Source organism: Homo sapiens, chromosome 3 (assembly GCF_000001405.40).
Source record: "Homo sapiens chromosome 3, GRCh38.p14 Primary Assembly".
NCBI classification, from domain to species: Eukaryota; Metazoa; Chordata; class Mammalia; order Primates; family Hominidae; genus Homo; species Homo sapiens.
Window position 1 is genome coordinate 131,803,721 of NC_000003.12, and position 19,881 is coordinate 131,823,601.

The 19,881-nt window shown below is 37.9% G+C and overlaps 1 protein-coding gene and 1 long non-coding RNA gene across 12 annotated transcripts in view, besides 1 other annotated feature; one reads left to right on the forward strand and one right to left on the reverse strand.

The window, feature by feature from the left end:
- Window positions 1-19,881, reverse strand: part of CPNE4 (copine 4) — a 506,038-nt gene that overhangs the window by 270,152 nt on the left and 216,005 nt on the right. The window contains exon 1 of one of the 9 annotated variants that reach the window (XM_011512408.3): window positions 838-884. The exons of the other annotated variants lie outside the window; for them this stretch is intronic. The gene's annotated coding sequence lies outside the window, so the exon portion shown is untranslated. Of the gene's footprint in view, window positions 1-837; window positions 885-19,881 lie in introns of those variants that run through there. 9 annotated transcript variants of the gene reach the window in all.
- The window catches only part of LOC105374113 (uncharacterized), a 69,117-nt gene that overhangs the window by 911 nt on the left and 48,325 nt on the right, over window positions 1-19,881 (forward strand). The window lies entirely within an intron of this gene.
- Window positions 15,965-16,259: a silencer, noted in NCBI's record as "tiled region #7150; K562 Repressive non-DNase unmatched - State 24:Quies". NCBI's record gives its function as "represses a minimal TATA promoter and a strong SV40 promoter by Sharpr-MPRA in K562 cells {active_cell/tissue: K562}" and the evidence as "EXISTENCE:reporter gene assay evidence [ECO:0000049][PMID:27701403]".

Consider the following 19,881-nt stretch of genomic DNA (forward strand, 5'->3'; position numbering starts at 1 on the left):
AATGTTTATTGCAGCACTATTTGTAAACATAAGGAACTAGTGACAATATTAGTATTTAACAACGGGGAAATGGTTAAGTAAATTACGTACCTCTAATTGCTGGAACATTAAGCAGTGATCAAAATGGTGGTCAGGAAGAGTGGAAAACCGTAAAGACTAATCTCTTACTAAATGAGAAATTAAAGTTCTTATTAAGGTTTGACTCCATCTCTGAGCATCTGAGTTTATAAAGTCTAGTTACAAGCACAATAAATCAATACATCTTAATTATTTTTCTCACCTTATCTCTTGTGTGCCTATAAATATCTAGAGTCAATTAGTCTCTCTCTCTCCCTCTCTAATACACACAAATCATTATTGATTAATCCATCCCATCAGAGTTAAAGGGGTTAGTTGAAATTCTCTTTTACCACTGAACATTTGTGATTCTCTGATTCAACTATCAGGTAGAAGTTCTGAAACTTTTCTCCTCCCTATTCATTCACACTGGTTTAATCATTACCAACCTGTATATCTCGGTGGAACTCAGTTTGTCTGCTATAAGCAGAACCCGTATGATTTCAGACACAAGAAATTGGGACACTACAGGGAAAATGTTAATGTCAAGCAGCTGGCAAGTATTAAAAAATACAAATTATAAATATCTATAGAATATGTGAACTACTCACAAACCTAGTTATATCTTCCCGAGGTATGACTCGAGCCTTGTGAATAAATGCCTAGAATCCAGCTGTTTTTACTTCATATCAGACTGCTTTATATAACCTGATCTGTAGGACTAGCACAATAATAAACCAAAACAAGGGCTAAATGATCACAAAAATGGTTTTCTTTTACCTTTTCCTGTGTTCTACATCCTTTACAATGTGACTTTCAATTCATCTGCTGAAAAGGTATCGTGTATTTCCCCATCCCTTGTATTGGGCTGGCCTTGTAACTTGCTTCAGCCAATGGGATGTGGTAGAAGTGGCAGCGTGCCTGTTCTAAACCAAGGCCAGAAGAGGCTTAAATGCTTCTGCTCTTTCTCTTGGAACTATTCCACTGCCATGTGACTAAGCTCAGGCTAACCTGATAGAGAACAAGTGACATGTGGCCCAGTCTTCCCATTTGCCCTTGTCATCAGCGAGGCCTTATCTGCAGTTGGGCACAGACACATGAGAAAGTCCATCTGAGACCAGAATAACTGCCCAACTAAGCACAGCATAAATTGCTGACTCACATAATAGTGAGTTAAAGAAATGGTGTTTTTAAGCCACTAGGTTTTGAATGGTTTATTATTTAAGGGAAATAGTCACAAGCAGACTAAATTCCAAAATGAGCACTATCCTGAGTACTCCCAGATTCATTTGCCTTGAGTCAAACCAACAGAATTCTTATTGCCCATTCTGTGATTTTTCTCTCCTCATTCCCATCCAATCAGCCCATGTATGAATCATACACTACCTGCTGCAAAACTGAAAGATGTGTTTTTCCCTGGGAAGGCCATCGCTTGCTCTCCTTGGTGCCCTGGAAAGATACATTATTTTGGATAGCTAGTGTAAAGTACAATTTTGCAGATGTATGAGATAGGGAGCTCTCGTGCTTCCCATGTTTGTGGCAAGATAAAGAGATGGATGGAAAAATTTAGTATCAGTGAAACCACAAGCCAGTGATTTCAACAATTTTGACACTTCGAATTCAGGGTTGTTTTTGGTCCAATGTGCTGTTCTAGTTATACCTGTCTACAAAACAACAAATTTAAAGGTATTAAACAAATTCGATCCTCATTTATTATTATCTCATACAGTCTGGGTATTGGGTAGGCTCAGCTAAATGATTCTCACTCAGAGTCTCTCATGAAGTTGCAACTAGACATTAACAGGGACTGGAGTCATCTTGAAGACTGCCTCCCTCACATGTCTGCTGGGTGATGCCGGCTGTCAGCCAGAACACCTATAAAAATGGTTTCTTCATGTAACCTGGGATTCCTCACAGCTGGGTGTGAGATGGTAGTGACTGGGTACCAAAAGCAAGTGTTCTAAGACAGATCTAGGGAGAAGGTGCAGCTCTTTCATTGCCTCACGAGTTATATAGTGACACTTCCACTGTGCCCTACTGGTTGAGGCAGTCACAAAGATATGCCCAAGTCCAGGAAAAAGAGAAATAGACTCTGCCTGTCATATCTATGAATGTGGAAAGGTCACATTTTAAGAGGAGCATGTGGAATAAAATGTATTATTGCAGCCTTCTTTGGGAAATAAAATCTTCCAGATGTACATATAAATAATCGGAAATCATGAAATTCCAGTCATTTTACTTTTATTAACATGCAGCTAGAACCATGCTAGTGAATAACTTAGATATTAGATACTGTGCAGCCATATTCAGGCAGGTCTTAAATATAACTGGATGCTTGAAACTTTATCTGAGTCTTCCTAAAAGTATCTGGGAAGTTAAGGAGAACGTTTTTGTTGGCTGGAAGCCATCCTTCCTCATACAACTAAATGATATTTAATTTAAAATATGAACTTTGCCTTAAATATTAATTAGAACATAAAATTAAAATATTGGCCAGGCGCGGTGGCTCATGCCTGTAATCCCAGCACTTTGGGAGCCCGAGGCGGGTAGATCATGAGGTCAGGAGATCGAGACCATCCTGGCTAACATGGTGAAACCCTGTCTCTACTAAAAATACAAAAAATTAGCCGGGCATAGTGGCGGGCGCCTGTAATCCCAGCTACTCTGGAGGCTGAGGCAGGAGAATGGCATGAACCCGGGAGGCGGTGCTTGCAGTGAGCCGAGATTGTGCCACTGCACTCCAGCCTGGGTGACAGAGTGAGACTCCGTCTCAAAAAAAAAAAAAAAAAAAAGAAATAGGAACAATTTTTATAGTTGTCAGCCTGGAGCAAGAAAACACAATAAACTTGGTCAGCAGATGTTAAGACACAAGTGTAGGGAAAAAGTGAAAATTTTATTTAAAAATATCTCTTAGGCACTTTTAGAAGCCACAAACTACAACAAAGCTATTCCCTCATTTTCTTGCTCTGGTTTCTAACATGTGGTCACTCCATGTCCCTTGCCTCTGGAGAACGAGGTGGTAGCATGAAAGGAAGAATGAATGTCACAAAAGTCTTCCTGGATTTGTTTCGAAAAACCTAACATCCATTCTGAGAGACGGTTAAGAAGGGAGGAAGTTTGTAGTTTTCACAGTTCCCCAAATTGCTTAAACAGAGACAGGAGGTAAAGTGAAGCTTCTCTTATTCACACTAGAGGTTTACCAGGATTAGGAGAAAGAGATAAGAGAAAGAGAAAGGTATGCATAACACCAGGACAAGGGACCTGCATTTGTGTTAAGGCCATAAATTATTAGGAAATTCAGAGTTTAGAGATCAGGAACCAGTATTCTATGCTGCCAGTGCCTGGCGGGGGTGGTGATGAAGGGAAGGGGACACAGTGACCCTCTAGAGGGAAAAGAGTATGATGGGTGTCAGTGTAGGTATCAGGGAAAGGGACACTTGAACAGAAGTTTCCTTGCCCCAAGCCAGACACTGAAGCACCACAAAGTCACACGTGCCTTTGTTCAGGGCAAAGGGCATCTCACAGGCAAATTTATAGTTTTGGGTTTTAAAAATTGTTTCTAAAAAGGTATCATATCGCATATATAATTTTATACTTTTTAAAAAACATTTTGCTTTGGAGATACTTAGGTCATTATATACAGATCTACTCTATTATACCTGTTGCATGTTATTTCACAGTGTATGCATGAACTAGGGTCTATTCTCTTATTAATGGACATCTATTTTTTCCTCAATTTTTCTCTAAAACAATGTAGTAGTGAATGTCCTAGTGTTAACCTCCATGTAAACATGTACATTTATTTCTCTAGGTTAAAAAAAGAAAAGTGAAATCCCTGGGTCATAGGGGAATACACTTTTAAAATATACAATTCAGTTAGGCCTAATTATCCTCTGAAATGAGCATGGCCATTAATATCTTAATCTGAAAAATATGAGGTAAATTATTTCCCCACGTTCTCACCTGTATATTTATTATTTTAAAATATATTTTTTAAAATGAACATGTATTTTAAAAGCAAAAGAAATAGTAGAAAATGTTCAAATATATTCTCCATGATAGCAAGAATATTGCCCGTCTTATTTTTATATAATTAGAACAGTGCCTGGTACATAATAGAAGATATTTAATCGTTATTAGTTGAATGAATGAATGAATGAATGACAAAGGCAAATGGAAGGAGGCATTGAGAAAAACTCTCTGGCATGAAGCATAAGGTAATGCTAGAGGACTTTGAAGCCAGTGTTGAACTGAAAGTAACCATAGCAGCAACACTGAAACTCAGCTCAGCTCCTGGCTAGTTTGACTCAAGTCCCCACACTAACAGCAGAGCAATTTAAGAGGCATGTCCACTTTCAGGTATAAGGACTCTACCCCAGAGTCTACTGTCCTAAACGGAATGTCCATCATTCAATCAGAAATTACAAAACACACAAAAATGCAAGAAAAAATCCCACTCACTGTTAAGAGACAAATTAATTAACAGAATTAGACTGAAAAATGGCTCAATGTTAGAACTCTCAGACAGAGGATTTAAAATAACAATTGACTGATATTTTAAGGCTCTAGTGGAAAAAGTGGGCAACATGCATAAAAGAAGAATTTATAGGAACTATAAGAAAAAGTCAAATGGAAATCTTATAAATAAAAACCACAGTCACTATAATGAGGAAATACTTTGATAAGGTGTCAGTGAACTCAAAAATCAATCAATAGAAACTACTCAAACTAAAACTCAAAGAGAAAAAAAAAGATGGGAGATAATTATTTTTTAAGAATTGGTCATCAAAATGTAGCAACAAGTTTGCCTTATCCTATATCATTTGAATTTTCAAAAAATAAGCTCATTATACAATCTTTAAAATATTTTGAATAGAACTGTTTCATGTGTTATTTGTGAAAATTAGGGAAAAAGCAGTAAAGAAACATTCTGTGAGAAAACCTATCTAATAAACTCAGTATTGAGGTTCTTAGAATATAGAAAAAGAAATGTGGCAATTTGCCAGTTTTCATTATAAAATGGAAAAGAATAAAATTATTCTTTGCCCATTTACAGAAGAATTTATTGTATTGAAAGGGATTTTTGTAAACGGTAAACTAAGCACTGTAATATAAGCTAGTAATTTTCCAGAAGATACTTCACCCAAAAGCATCAGAATGGACGGAACATGTATCTTTGGTAAAAGTAGCCTGTGGTTTTTCTAATGATACAGAACATCTCTTTGGAGAGTGTAGACATATATGCTTGTGTAAGTGCGTGCATGTGTGCGGGTACACCTGTGAATATGTTAGTTACATAGCAAAGGGGAACTAAAGTTGCAGGTGGAAATTAGGCTGCTAATCAGCTGAACTTAATATAGGGAGATTATCTTAAATTATCCTGGTGGGTCCAATGTAATCACTAGTTCTAAAAAGTAGAAGAGAGAAGCTGAAGAGTAGGTCAGAGTGATGTGATATGAGAACAACCCAACCCATCATTACTGGTTTAAGGATGAGGCAATAGAGTTATAAACCAAGACATGCAGGTGACCTCTAAGAAATGGAAAAGATGAGAAGATGAATTCTCCCTTAGATCCTCCAGAGGGAACACAGCTCTGTTAACACCTTGATTTTAGCCAGTGAGATCTGTCAGACTTAAAACACACAGAATGTAAGATAATAAATTTGTGTTGCTTCAAGCCACTGAATTTGCAGTAATTTGTTATAACAAGCAAGAGAAAGTGAATACCCCTTCCCGCTTTATACACAAAGCTTTAATAAATACCCAGAAAAAGTGAGGTCAAAATATGAAGGCTCAAACACAACTGTGTGGTAATAAATATTAGATAAGATTGACAATTGAAATACACCTGGGTTAATGAAAACCAGTGGAATATATGCTAATAGGAAATCAAATGTGGACAAACAAATCATAAGCTTCAATGTTTATTTAATATGAATGAGAAAAGGTAATATCACCTGATAGGTTATTGTAGAGATTTGCAAATGTAACACAAAAAGGTAATAAATATTTCCAAGGGGACCAGGCTAAAAAAGCTGACAGTATTTCTTAAGGGTCATCAATTATCTGAAGTAGGTTTAAGTAATCAGGATATTAGACTTTATCCTTGCAATAGACAAAAATCTTCTTTTGCAATACACAAGAAAAAGAATTGAAAAGGAGTCATGGAAAGGAAGAAAAGAGTGGAAGGAAGAGAATAAGGAGGTAGAAAAGGAAGAGAAGAATCAAGAAGAGGAGGACGAGGAGGAGGAGAAAGAAGTAGAGAACTCATAAACATATAATGATATTAATGCTTTAAATGTGAAACCTGGAACCATAAAGCTTCCAAAAGAAAATGTAGGGGAAAGGCTTCTTGACATTGGTCTTGGCAATAATGTTTTAGATATGACACTAAAAGCACAGGCAATAAAAGTAATAAACAAGTTTATGCCAAAATGAAAAGCTTCTGCACAGCATAGGAAACAATCAGCAAAATGAAGAGGTAGCCTCTGAAATGGGAGAATATTTTTGTCTGTCATATATCTGATAAATGGTTAATATAAAAAATATACAAGGAACTGCTACAACTCAATAGCATACACACAAATAGAAAACAAAATTCCCAAATAACCTGATTGTAAAATGGCAAAGGATCCGAATAGACATTTCTCCCAAGAAAATATAAACATGAGGGAAACGCAAATCAAAACCACAAAGAGATACCACCTCACACCTGTTAGGAAGGCAATCATAGATTAAAAAAAGGTAAGTGTTAGTTAAGTGTTAGTGAGGATTTGGCAGAAAGGGAACCCTTGTACACTGTTGGTGGGAGTATAAATTGATACAACCATTATGGAAAACAGCATGGAGAGTTCTAACAAATTAAAAATAGATTTACCACCTGATCCAGCAAACCCACTTCTGGGTATACATCCAAAAGAATTGAAATTCGGATCTGGAAGAAATATCTGCACTGCCTTGTTCATTGCAGCATTGTTCACAGTAGCCAAGATATGTAAACAACCTAAACATTCATGGATAGATGAGTGGATAAAGAAAATGTGGTGTATACATACAATAGAAGATTATTCGGCCTTAAAAAAGAAGGAAATCATGCCATTTGTGACAACCTTGATAGACCCGAATAGCATTATGCTGGGTGAAATAAGCCAGAAATAGAAAGATACTGTATGATCTCACTTATATATGGAACCTAAAATAGTCAAACTCATAGAGCAGAGAGTAGAATGGTGGTTACCAGGAAAGGAGAAAATGGAAAAGTGATGATTAGAGGGTACAAAGTTTTAGTTACACAAGATAAATAAGCTCTGAAGATCTATTATACAGTATAATGCTTATAGCTAACAATACTGTATTATATACTTGAAGTGTGTACAATAAGAGGGTAGATCTTATGTTGAGTGTTCTTACCACACACATACACATATTAACAATTTTAATAATAAAGGAGGTGGGAGAAAACTTTAGGAGATGATGCATATATTTATGGTCTTGATGATAGTGATGGTTCTATGGGTATATACTTCTCAAACTCATGGAATTGTATACTTTAAATATGTGCAGCTTTTTATATGTAAATTGTATCTCAGTAGAGTGGTTTAAAAAATATATATATATAAAGATGTTTTCCTATCTGGAAATAATGTAAATATGTTGAGTTGGGACATTAGAGCATGGTAAGAGAAATGAAAGAAGGACAACTCAGTGAATGGCTTTGCATCCAGCAGAAAAGTCACCTAGTACGAACTGAAGCCTCTACTATGTATTCAAAGTACCTTCCATGGGAGTTCACCCTTCCACATTTTCCTTCTGTCCCAACCCTGCCTCTAAGTCTCTCTCTGAGAATATTATTCAAATTAGTCCTTATATAAAAGTTCTTAGTCCTCTGAGTGTCCCAGCGGGAGGGCATTATGTAGATTTTCTCAAGTTAACAAATAGTATAGTTAATCAGGATGAAACATTTCAAAATAAAGAGTACATCAATACTTAGGAAGCATGGATATTGTGTCAGGCACTGTGTTAAGGAGTTGAAATATTAAGTGCATCATCTCACTTAACCTCTTCATCTTCATGTGATAGCTATAAATATCCTGGTTAGGAAACAGTCTCAAAGAGTTAAGCATCTTGCTCAAGGTCACACAGCTAACAACTGGCAAAAGAAAGAACACTACTTTTCAGAGAAGCACTATTGCAGGGTATTGCTTGATATTTAAGTATAGGAGAGTGCGCCGTCCATGAAGGAGGGCTTGGAAATCAATAGTCCTCACTAGAAATTTTAGTGTGCTGCCTGCCTGTCTTCAGGTCCATAAAGAACAAATTAGAGAATTTTACCCTATACCCTAACTTTTAGTCAAAATCATCCAGGATTGCAATTAGGATGCAGTCTTTATGGCTCCCCAAGAAGGAATAGAGAAGGTGGAAATAAGTTGGTAAAATTGGAAGAAAAAAAAAAAAAACAGGAAGCATTTACATAAAAACAACTCTTTTAAAGAATCAATAAAGTTACAGACATTAAGGTGAAAGCAAACTAAAGAGATTGAACTTGGAGAGTGGAGGGCAGGTACAAAATGAATGCTCAGGAAGTGGAAAAAGTCAAAGACAAATATTTAGCACAGTATGATGCCAAGAAAGGTGAATATCCAGTTAAGGTAGGAACCAGGGCTGAGGGGCAAAAACAAAGATATTGGAGCCTACTGGTTGTCAATTAGCTCAAAGCACACTTCCCACCTCTTCAAATAAAAACAAAAGAATCTGAGCTTTTCAGAGCTCTGCCTTGAGACCAACAGCCCTAGGGCTAAATATCAAATATCACATGCAAATGTTGTGTGCCTGAGAGCATGCACAACCATTTACTCATTCCATTTCATAACACATATTGAGCATTTACTGTGTTCCAAGCACTGTTAGCAACACAGATGACTTACAAGAGAGTAAGTTACAGCTGAGAGGCCAGTGAAGGCAGACTTGTAGACTGAAACTTTCAGGAGCCATGGAAGAGTTAGTGCTGCAAAATACGTACAGTGTTGTGGGGAGCAGGGAGAATATTTAATGTCTTCACAAAAAGGGAAACATTTGAGTTGGATCTCAAAGGATACATGGAAGTTCACCAGAAAGGAATAAAGGAAAGAATAACATTTTAGGTAGTAATCCTATATCTGGGCATATATACTAAAAAAGTAGTTTTTAAATCAATGAATAAGGATACTTAAAGAAAACTTATTCTGAGGTTAAAATCTGAAAATAATCAGCATGTTCAACCACTAAAGAATAGTTAAGAAAATTGTATTATATTGACTTAATTGTCTTTTCAACTATTTTTGACCTATAAATGGCAATTTCACATCATTTAATAGAATTTCAGTCTAATGAAACTTATTCCGATAAAAATGGGAGAAAATCTGGGAAGACTATGTTGAAATTAAAGAATCCATAAAATAATGGCAGATAAAATACAAAGAACAAAATTTCTATGTGTAATATAAATTGAAGTTTGTAAAATATGTTTCCATAGTGATAAAGATTGAAAAGAAAAGAGGGAAATGAGAGTAGTTGTAATAGAATAGAAGGAGTTAACATATCAAAAATCCATTCACGTTTTTTAAATATATATATAGTATGTATATACAAACGTATATATGTATGTGTGTATACATACAATATAGAAAAATACATATTTTAAAAATATATTTTATTTATATGTATTTATTTAAAATATATATTTAAAATATATTTTTTCTATATTGTATGTATGTATACACACATATGCATACATACACACATTTAAAATATGAACCAAGATGATATTAAGTTACATTCAAAATCTTTTAAAAGTAGCTTATCTAAAACATTCCATTTTATCTAAGTCTGAGAGAAACAGGTTAACCATTTTTTCAGTGGAAAAATAAGCTCATTGATTTCATTTTTAAATAGAAATATCAAATGGCAGCCAGCTGAAGGAGTAATTTGTGTGCTATGAAGCATTGGGTTCTGGGAAGGAGAAGTCCCAGAACACTTATTTATTCCTGCTGCTGTCACAGTATTTGAGTCCAAGATCCAATATGCTTAATTATACCAGACATGATTTTGAAATTCTTGTGTTGAAGATTTGGGGGATACCTAGTTTTTCTGTATCTTGGGTCTCTGTGTCTTTGACAAGAGGTTCAGAATGTGTTACCTCTTCTGGACTGATTTCTATCTGACTGACACACGGCAAGGGTCTAGGTAAAGGCATCAATTTTATATGGTATAGGATCCAGTAGAGATTTGCCATGTTCACATATTCAGAACTATATTATAACAGACTGCTGAGTGTAACATAGGCACCTATATACATGGGGGCATCTAAGGGTATCTGCTAGAGTTGTATCAGTTAGGACAACTTAGGTAATTCTCCAATAACAAACAGCTCCCCAGTCTCAGAGGCTTAAAATGACAAGAGTATACTCCTTGTTCTTGTTACATGGACAGTAGAGCTTGGCATAAGAGTTTCTCTTCATTGTAGCAACTCAAGAAATAAGGCTAACAGAGCAGCCACTATCTCGAACATTGGCAGTCACCATTCTAGAGAGAAAACAGCACTCTAGAGGGTCTTTCATGGTCTGGAAGTGATTCATTACTCATAACTCACTTGCCAGTCACAAGCCCCTGCCAATCATAAGGGCCCAGGAAATGCGTTCCTACCGTGTGTACAGAAGGGAGAAAACTAGGAATACTTGACAAACATCATTAATCACTACCACAAGACTCTTTCTGTATTGCTTATTTTTAATGGAAGCATAAAATATTGAAATGCAATTTTTTTTTTTTTTTTTTTTTTTTTTTTTTTTTTTTTTTTTTTTTTTTTTGAGACGGAGTCTCGCTCTGTCGCCCAGGCTGGAGTGCAGTGGCGGGATCTCGGCTCACTGCAAGCTCCGCCTCCCGGGTTCACGCCATTCTCCTGCCTCAGCCTCCCAAGTAGCTGGGACTACAGGCGCCCGCCACTACGCCCGGCTAATTTTTTGTATTTTTAGTAGAGACGGGGTTTCACCGTTATAGCCGGGATGGTCTCGATCTCCTGACCTCGTGATCCGCCCGCCTCGGCCTCCCAAAGTGCTGGGATTACAGGCGTGAGCCACCGCGCCCGGCCTGAAATGCAATTTTAAGAGTGCCTTCAAATGCCATCTCAGAGAGATGATCTGCAGGGCCACAGGGCATCAACAATCAAGAAGAGTTCTAAAGGAGGCCAACACCATTTTAAGAGACTGGTTGGTCTGGTGGATAACGGAAGACTGGAAGAGTTAAATACGTATAGTTTAGCTGGGCAGACCCAGTAGGGAGCAATAGAAGGTGGTAAATGTGGATGTGGTAGCAATCTAAAAATATCCATAAGATGTAAAGGATTAGAAGGAAGTATTATTTAGCATGCAAATCAGAAAGAATCACTAGATATTTTAAAGAATGATATGAGGAATTAGGTTCTGAGATCAAAAAATTGGAAAACTGATATTATAAATAAAGTGAAAAAGAAAGCATTCTCAAATACTTTTTACTTGAGAAGATGGGAAAAAAAATTCTTTGGATAAGAATTGAAAATGGGGTTAACTTTAGGGAGACATCTAAGAGCACCTGAAATAAATCTGACCTCTCGCATTCACACACAAGATTTATATTTGCTAGCTAAATTCTAGCGTGAGGGAGCAGGATACAGGCAGATACATCCTCTTGATAACATTTAGAGCAATGGAAGTTTTAGTATGTCATGGAGTACTTTACAAGGACCCTGCCATCTATTCCAGTATGGGAAGATTCCAGAACCTGCCTATATATATATGTAAGTAAGTCCAAGCTTGTGCCACTTGCCACCTGGCAGCCAGTAAGTCGAGAGACAAGGTGTTGGAACAAAGAAGGTGACTTTATTCCAGAGAGCCAGCAAACCAAGAGGATGGTGGACTTATATCCTAAAGAACTATCTGAAAAGACATGACTCTCAAGCTTCTTTTTATACTGGGGAAAGGGGAACAAACAAGGGGTTGCGATCAGGAGGCAACCAGTGACCACAGACATCTGGGTATCAGCAGAGGGGTCCAGAGATTTTGCAGAACTTCTTTGTCTTTGGTTAGTTCACAGTGTTCCTATAAATCTTTAGCATAACATTGCTACTTGTGTGTACACCCTCCTTATATACTCAGGAGTTGGTTTTGGGAAGGGACTATTATCCTTGCTTTAAAGTTGAATTATAAACTAAGTTCTTCCCATAGTTAGCTTGGCCTATGTGCAGGGGTGAGCAAAGGCAGTTAGCTCGTGAGGTTAGAGGCAAGATGGAGTCAGCTGTTAGATTTCTCTGTTACATATAGAATACTTGGAGTATGGAAAAAGATCCTAAAACCCACTGTAATTATAGCTACTTAATTATATGTGCTTCTATGAGCATTTTAAAGACTTTTCCAAGTTTAGGACAATAGGTTTTAATATGTCCAGGGCTAAGACTGATACTCAGATACTGATGAGTTTTTCTCAAACCTTCCATGCTATCATGGGGAGTGTTTCATAGGCAATGGAATTTAGTTTTATATCTTCTTTTTATTGTTGTTACTTTCCTTGACTGTGTTTTCTCCCATCAGAGACTTGCCTGACTCATTTTGAAAAGTTTAAAATGGGAATTTTTGGATGGATTTAACATGAGAAGAGATCAATCATTTACTTTTCCTAGCTTGTTTTTCAAACAGGAAATACGAGCAGTTTTCTTCTCAGATGAAAACTGCAGTTTTCTGAGTTAGATTCGAATCCCCACCACTTTTAGGATTGAAACGGAATCAACTCACTTTAGAACAAGATACAACTAAACTGACCTGAGATCTTCTCATTTCTAACAGTAACTACAAGTAAGAGAAGAGCCAACAAGGACAAAGCAAATGAGCTTAACACCCAGGGATTTTCTCTAGTCACTCAAAGCCAGAGGGAGTGATTTGCATTATGTAATTTTTTACTGACCTCTTTGTCCACACTATTTCCCAGGAAGAAATATACCTTCCTAAATGCCAACTTCTACCCCTACCCTATAATGTCAGCCTACCCCATACCTACACCATGACCCAAGGTCTATGATTATACCGTCTTTTTAAAAATCAACTTTATTGGGGTATATTTTACATACAGTAAACTGCACCCACTTAAAGTGTATATTTTGATGTGTTTTGACAAATGTGTATACTTGTATAGCTACCATCAAAATTAAGACATAGAACAGCTTTAACTTTTCTTCAGGAAGAAGTGTTTCTGCTGTTTTTGAAGACTTACATTTGCCTAATGTGGGCGTAAAGGGCATTTTCAGCACACATCAGCAATGTTGGGAAAGGATGAGGAGGTGCAAATACTTTGGTTCACTACATGTGGAAAGGTCACAAGCACTATGGAAAAAAGAGAAAGCAAAGCAGGGTTGGGGGAAACTGGAGTGTGGGAGTGGGAGTGTAGCCGTGATGTGCAGTTTGCGATATTAAATGAATAGTCAGGGAAGGCTTTATTGCGAAGGTAAGGCTTAAAGGAGAGGAGGGAGTTACCAAGGCTGCTATGAAGGGGTTGGGAGCAGGGAGAGTTCTAGGCAAAGGAAACAACGGAAGGCCCTAAAGCGGAATATATCTGTTATATTCAAGAAACAGCAAGGAAGTCTATGTGGCTCAAATGCAGTAAATGAGGGGTGAATAGTAGGACAGGAGGTCAGAGAAGTTAGCAAGGAGTCAAAACATGTTGGGCCAAGACAGCCATTGGAGGGCTTTGGTGATCCTTGTTTTTCCACCCTGTCCTATGGAGATGTGGATGAAGGAAAGCCTGAGGGAAAAAGAAGAGTGGTAGGTACGTATTAGCCTTGGTCCAAGATGCAAAAAGATAGAGTGGCAAAGGCCAGCAAGGGAAAAATGATTGAAAAGTGCAGGCCAGAACAACACAGAAATTCCTGGAAAGAAGCCAGGGGGCCCACGAAACATAAAATGATGTTACTGATGTTCATGGCAGAAGTTACAGAGAGACGTATTCTCTTGAATGACTGAAAAGGGATACAGAAAAGTCTTGTCCTAACCTTCTTGAATAAGCAACATTTTACCACCTCTCCTAAATGAAAAGAGTATAAATAAAAGAAACACCACCTACTCACATCTGAAAGGTTGCCAACTCTTGTTTTGTAAGAATCTCAGGATCTCTTAAGCAAGGGGCTGCATTTCAGTATTTAAAAAGTGCACCTTGTGGCTTGGTGCAATTTCAACCACTTAGGTCTCATAAGCTTTTGAGCCACAGCTCAATTTTCAAAGGAACACCCTAAATCCGGTTTTTTAAATGGTCATCTGATGAGTCAATCAACAGGTGTAAATTTTTCAATGCCTTACTGTCAGTGTCAAGAAATTGGTTTTTTTTGGGAAAACACAAAACTGCTTTATTAGTTGAGTATATAAAAACACCACAGGATTTATGTTCTTCCCTCAACACATGCTTGGGTAACTCCCATTAGGAGCAGCAGGAGTTGCAACAGCCCATACAGGGAAAAATAGAAGCTTCACAGCGTAAGGCTACAAAATGCAGCAGAGACATCCAGTGGAGTCATCTTAACATTATAGGATCTGCTTGTCTGTGCCTTAGTTTCTCCATGTCACTAATAGGTGTGAATTTTTGTGCTCTTCTGTTCAAAAGGTATAGGATAAAGACTAATTAAAGGCCAATACTCATAGCTGCAAATGCATTGACCTTGTGTAGGTGCCCAGCATTATTTAAATTCTCACTACTCAAAGTGTGGTCCATGGAACAGCAGCATCAACATCAACTGGGAGGCTGTCAAAAATGAAAAACCTTAGACTCTATGCCTAACCTGTTGAATCAGAATCTATATTTTAGCAAGATCTCTATCTTGCATATTAAAGTTTGAGAAACAAGAAGCACAATGTTTTTGTTTAAAACCTGATTGAATCTTTGTGCTAACTCCATGTAGTAGATAATAACATCCCCATTTTAGGAAGTTGTTGAGATTGAATCCTGACATGACCTGCCATAAATTAAGTAAGTGGTAAAACCAGGATTCAGGCTGGGTGTGGTGGCTCATGCCTGTAATCCCAGCACTTTGGGAGGCTGAGGCAGGCAGATCACGAGGTCAAGGGTTTAAGACCAGCCTGGCCGACATGGTGAAACCCCATCTCTACTAAAAATACAAAAATTAGCCAGGTGTACTGGTGGGCACCTGTAAACTCAGCTACTTGGGAGGCTGAGGCAGAAGAATCACTTGAACCCAGGAGATGGAGGTTGCAGTGAGCGAAGATTGTGCCACTGTACTTCAGCCTGGGTGACAGAGCAAGACTCCATCTCAAAACAAAAAAACACAAACAAACCAGGCTTCAGACTCAGGAGGGTATGTGATTCCAAAAGATATACGATTCCAAAAGTATACATCCAGTAATACTTCACTACTCATGATACATGTGATCAAGAGAACAAAACTGAGGGAAGAAATAGAGGAAATCACTCTGCTTTATCTCAACATAATTTTCAAAATAAAAGAGGCCACCATTAGCATGTAAAAGGAAAAGCCATTTGGATGAATAAGAGAACAATTTGATCTCAATATAGGCTAGACTTAGTAGGAGAAAATGTAATTAAGGAGGACAAATAAGTCTTACAGAAGATCACAAACCAAGACCCTTCCCCAGTATGCATTTTACAGTAAAGGGACACCCACATTCACACAGACACACACAGATACACACACACACACACACACACACACACACACGCACAGTTTCCTTAAAACCAAATCCTGCTTGGCATGAATATGTATAATTAGATGTTCCCTAGGAGTGAGAAGTAGTAATTAATTCAGTGTTAAACATCACAATCTATTACTTGAACTCCATAGCAACCACGGTTGCCAACAGAGAGAAAACAAAATTTCGGAGCCTATTTTTAAATAATTACATTGAAATTTTTGAAAATGTGTAAAAGCTGACACTTGCTATTTTTAGGCTAAAACAATAGGCATTAACACAGGAAGTAGAGAAGAATGCCAAGGAATAAAGGCAAAAGGAAATCTCCTCTGAACCAACCTAAACAATGATGTGGAAAGTATGACTTTGACCCTGCCCAAAGCGCAGGGCCCAGCTGCTCCCTCTGGGGAAGAAAGTTGTTCTTTCAGACTAAGAAGAGATATATTAATAATTTCTGGAAGGAATTGACTTTTGGAATCAAACCAAACTACATTTGAGTCCCAGTGTTGTCACTTCATGTGTTTCCTTAGACAAGTTGCTTACGTCCCTGAATCTCAATTCCCTCATTTGTTACAATGGGAAAAATATTAGGTCTATCTCAGAATTTTCCTAAAACAATCCAATATAAAATGCCCAATACAAGGTGTTGTAGATTGGGTTCCCCTGAAAGCAGATTCTGAGTTTAGCATTCAGGATATTTATTGAGGAATGCCCTTCGGACTAACATCTGTGGGAGGAAAGGGAAACAAGCAAGGTTGGGCAGTAGGAGAAGTTGTGCTGTGATGACAGCCCAGTGACAGCCTTGCCTAATCTCTTGGGAAGTTCTGGAGCTATCATGGCCTGACAGAGCTGTCTGACAGTGGGCTGAAATGGCCAGGACATTTATCACACCTTAATCCAACAGCCAATAAATGTGGCTGCTCACAGAAGGACATGATCGTTGGTGAGGGGGCTCTCTGCAGCTGAGGCAGTCCTTGCAGGGGCTGCCAGTTAACCGCATTCTCAGCAGCTGGGCAACAAGTCCTTTGCAGGGGGACCTGAGTGCTGCATTTCTATATGCAACACATACTATGCAAATAATGTTTGCTTTACTTATTTTGCATTTGCAATTATTACAAACATCTCTTTCTAATAGAAGTTCTGGTATCCAGAAAAATCCCATTGTAATGCATATCATAACAATTTCTGTTCTTAAAAATAACTTTCAGTATTTTGTTAAGTTCTGATCCCAGAAACACACACTCATCTCTTTTAAATTTCTCAGTATTTCTATGAGGTAGTGAGTATTCATCTCCACTGTACAGTTGAAGAAACAAGTGCAGAGAGTAACTAGAAATAACCAGTTCTGGTGAGCAGTTGAGGGTGAAGAATGCTATATTGGACAGGTTTTAAATGATACTTCTTGCCACACCATTCCTATGCCTGTCCAACATCAACTCAATCCATCAACAAGTAAACAACAGAGGTCTCAAGGGAACTGTGTTCCCTTTCTTTCCATTTTTTGGAAAGACATATCTTGCCAACTCACTTAACCTTTATGCCAAAATCTTCCCACATTTTACAGGGTAATCAACACATGTCTCATATTTGCCCCAGAAAACTGAAGGAGGAGGAGGAGGTTGGCTTACAGGATCTCCAGAGCCCGTTTCATTTTAAGAATTCTCCACTGATAATCCAACGTTTTCATTGATAAAGAGTAATGTATTTTGAGGCAAGCTTAAAATGAAGGCCTAGATAAGTTAGAATTTCTTGGTTGCAAGCAATAGAAACTAGCTTTGGCTAACTTACAGAAAAGGACATTTGTTAGAGAATACTGGGAATTTAGAGAGAATCCACAGAAGGCTGGGGAAATGAGTTTGGCAACTGGACGGACCCCTGAAAGGCTAAGAAACAGGAAGCCAGCAATCTCCCTATTGTGAGAATTCTGGACAGATGCTGTCCCTTCTGCTGATGTAGCTGCTGCGATGTGTGACTTCCAAATATTCCTTCCAGCCTTCATTATTCATTCAAGATGAAAGGCCTGGAGAAAATATTTTTTCAGACTGGCTGCCACAGCTATATCAGGAACAGGACAGAAAGGGTGTGGTGTGTTGGTTTCCACTGTAGATGAGAGCACATGGAATTTTTCTCCCATCAAGACTACACAAACTGGGGAGTAATTCCTTTCACAAAAGGAAATGAGGGTGTATTAGAAAGGAGGAACATAGCTGTGCACGACAATGTAAATTTCCACACATATAACTGCAGTTTACTCATTTATTCTTATGCCCACAAATCAAATCATCTTACTTTTTGTAGTCTTATGCTGTCCAAATCCCTTCCTGCTTCCCAGACCTCTGAGTCTCCTCAGGGGTCCTTATGCCTCCCATTTATATTTGATAAACTCCTTTGAACAATAGGAAAACTTGACAAAATCCACCCCGAATAATTCTTCAAGGGACTCTCTATTCCTAATTACCAGTAGCAGTGTAATGTTAAATACCACTTCCAGGAAGTAAGAAGGAATTGGTAAACACTTCAGTAATCTTGGGAGATTGCTTACATATACTCCTAATAACCAAGGTAGAGAAAAAAATTAATTCTTATATTTGGTAAATTCAGTGCAACTGGATTTACAAAACAGAGTAAAAGGCAATAAAGCTAACGCAAGGGCCAACTGTGTACAATAAAATTTTTTTTCAAGTTTGAAACTAAATTACATAGAGTTTTAAATCTTCAGCCTACAACAAAAGCTATTTGGTCATTTTGAGACCAGACTGCTTTTATAGGATTTGAAATTTGGTTCTTTGTCAAAAAATCCCAAAGAGAAATTTGTATGTGTTCCCTAACTCAGTTTCCCTTATTCTCAGATTAGCATAGACTGACTAACCCTAGCCTTCACTCAAATGAACCACTTTCCAAAGTAATGAATGAACAAGGGTTAGAAAATAACCATTTTCTCTTTTTTCTCCTTTCACATTCACCCCAATTTCATATCCATATATAATTCAGATTTCATTAATTTAACAAGGAGAAGATAATCTGATCATAAGTTTGCTATTTTGCTCTCAAAGTTGATGCTCTTGTCTGCTTTGGAAAGTTGTCTAGCTTTTGTACCTATACAGGGAACCAAATGCCCAGACACAATTTTACAGAGTCAGCAGGTACTTAGCTTGCATAAAAGTATATATATCCAGTTCACTGTCTCACTCTTGCAGCCACAGAATAATCCATATACTAGAGACCATTTGGGAAGTATTCCTGTTTCATATATTTAAACTTGTTTGTTTTTTAAGTACTTTCCTTATTTCTCAGCAAGGAGGCAGAAATAAGTGGCAATGTACACTTCTTTCCTTTTTATTTTATTTATTTATTTATTTTCTAGATGGAATCTTGCTCTGTCACCCAGGCTGGAGTGCAGTGGTGCGATCTCGGCTCACCTGCAACCTCTGTCTCCTGGGTTCAAGCGATTCTCTTGCTTCAGCCTCCCAAGTAGCTGGGACTACAGGCATGTGCCACCACACCCAGCTAATTTTTTGTATTTTTTAATAGAGACAGGGTTTCACCGTGTTAGCCAGGCTGGTCTCAATCTCCTGACCTCGTGATCTGCCTGCCTCAGCCTCCCAAAGTGCTGGGATTACAGGCATGAGCCACTGCGCCCGGTCTGTACACTTAACTTCTTATCACAAGTTTTTTTATGCAGGAAAAAGAGGAAGGAAACTAATATTTATTGAAAGTATACTATGTGCCATGCATTGTGCTAGATGCTTCACATACTATTCAGTCCTCATTGCAAGCTTGCAGGTTGTAGTTACAGATTGCTGGGCAATTTTCACCGAATGAATGTGTGGAAAGGTTAGCAAATTGCCCAAGGTCCCCTGTATTTGACACTGACTGCAACGCTCTTGAGCCTTCCATGATAGAAATGCCAGCAAGGCACAAGCTTGGCAATGTCACAGTTCAGAAATCAGCCTCTTGGAGACTGTCACATCCCATCACCACAAGTTGATGGGATTGAAATGTGCCATATGTTCTGAATATAGACAGGGTCAGAACTTTCATTTTCACTGAGTGTGCGGTAATTAAAAACCTTACTGAAAGCAAATGATGGAGGATGAGCTTTAGAAC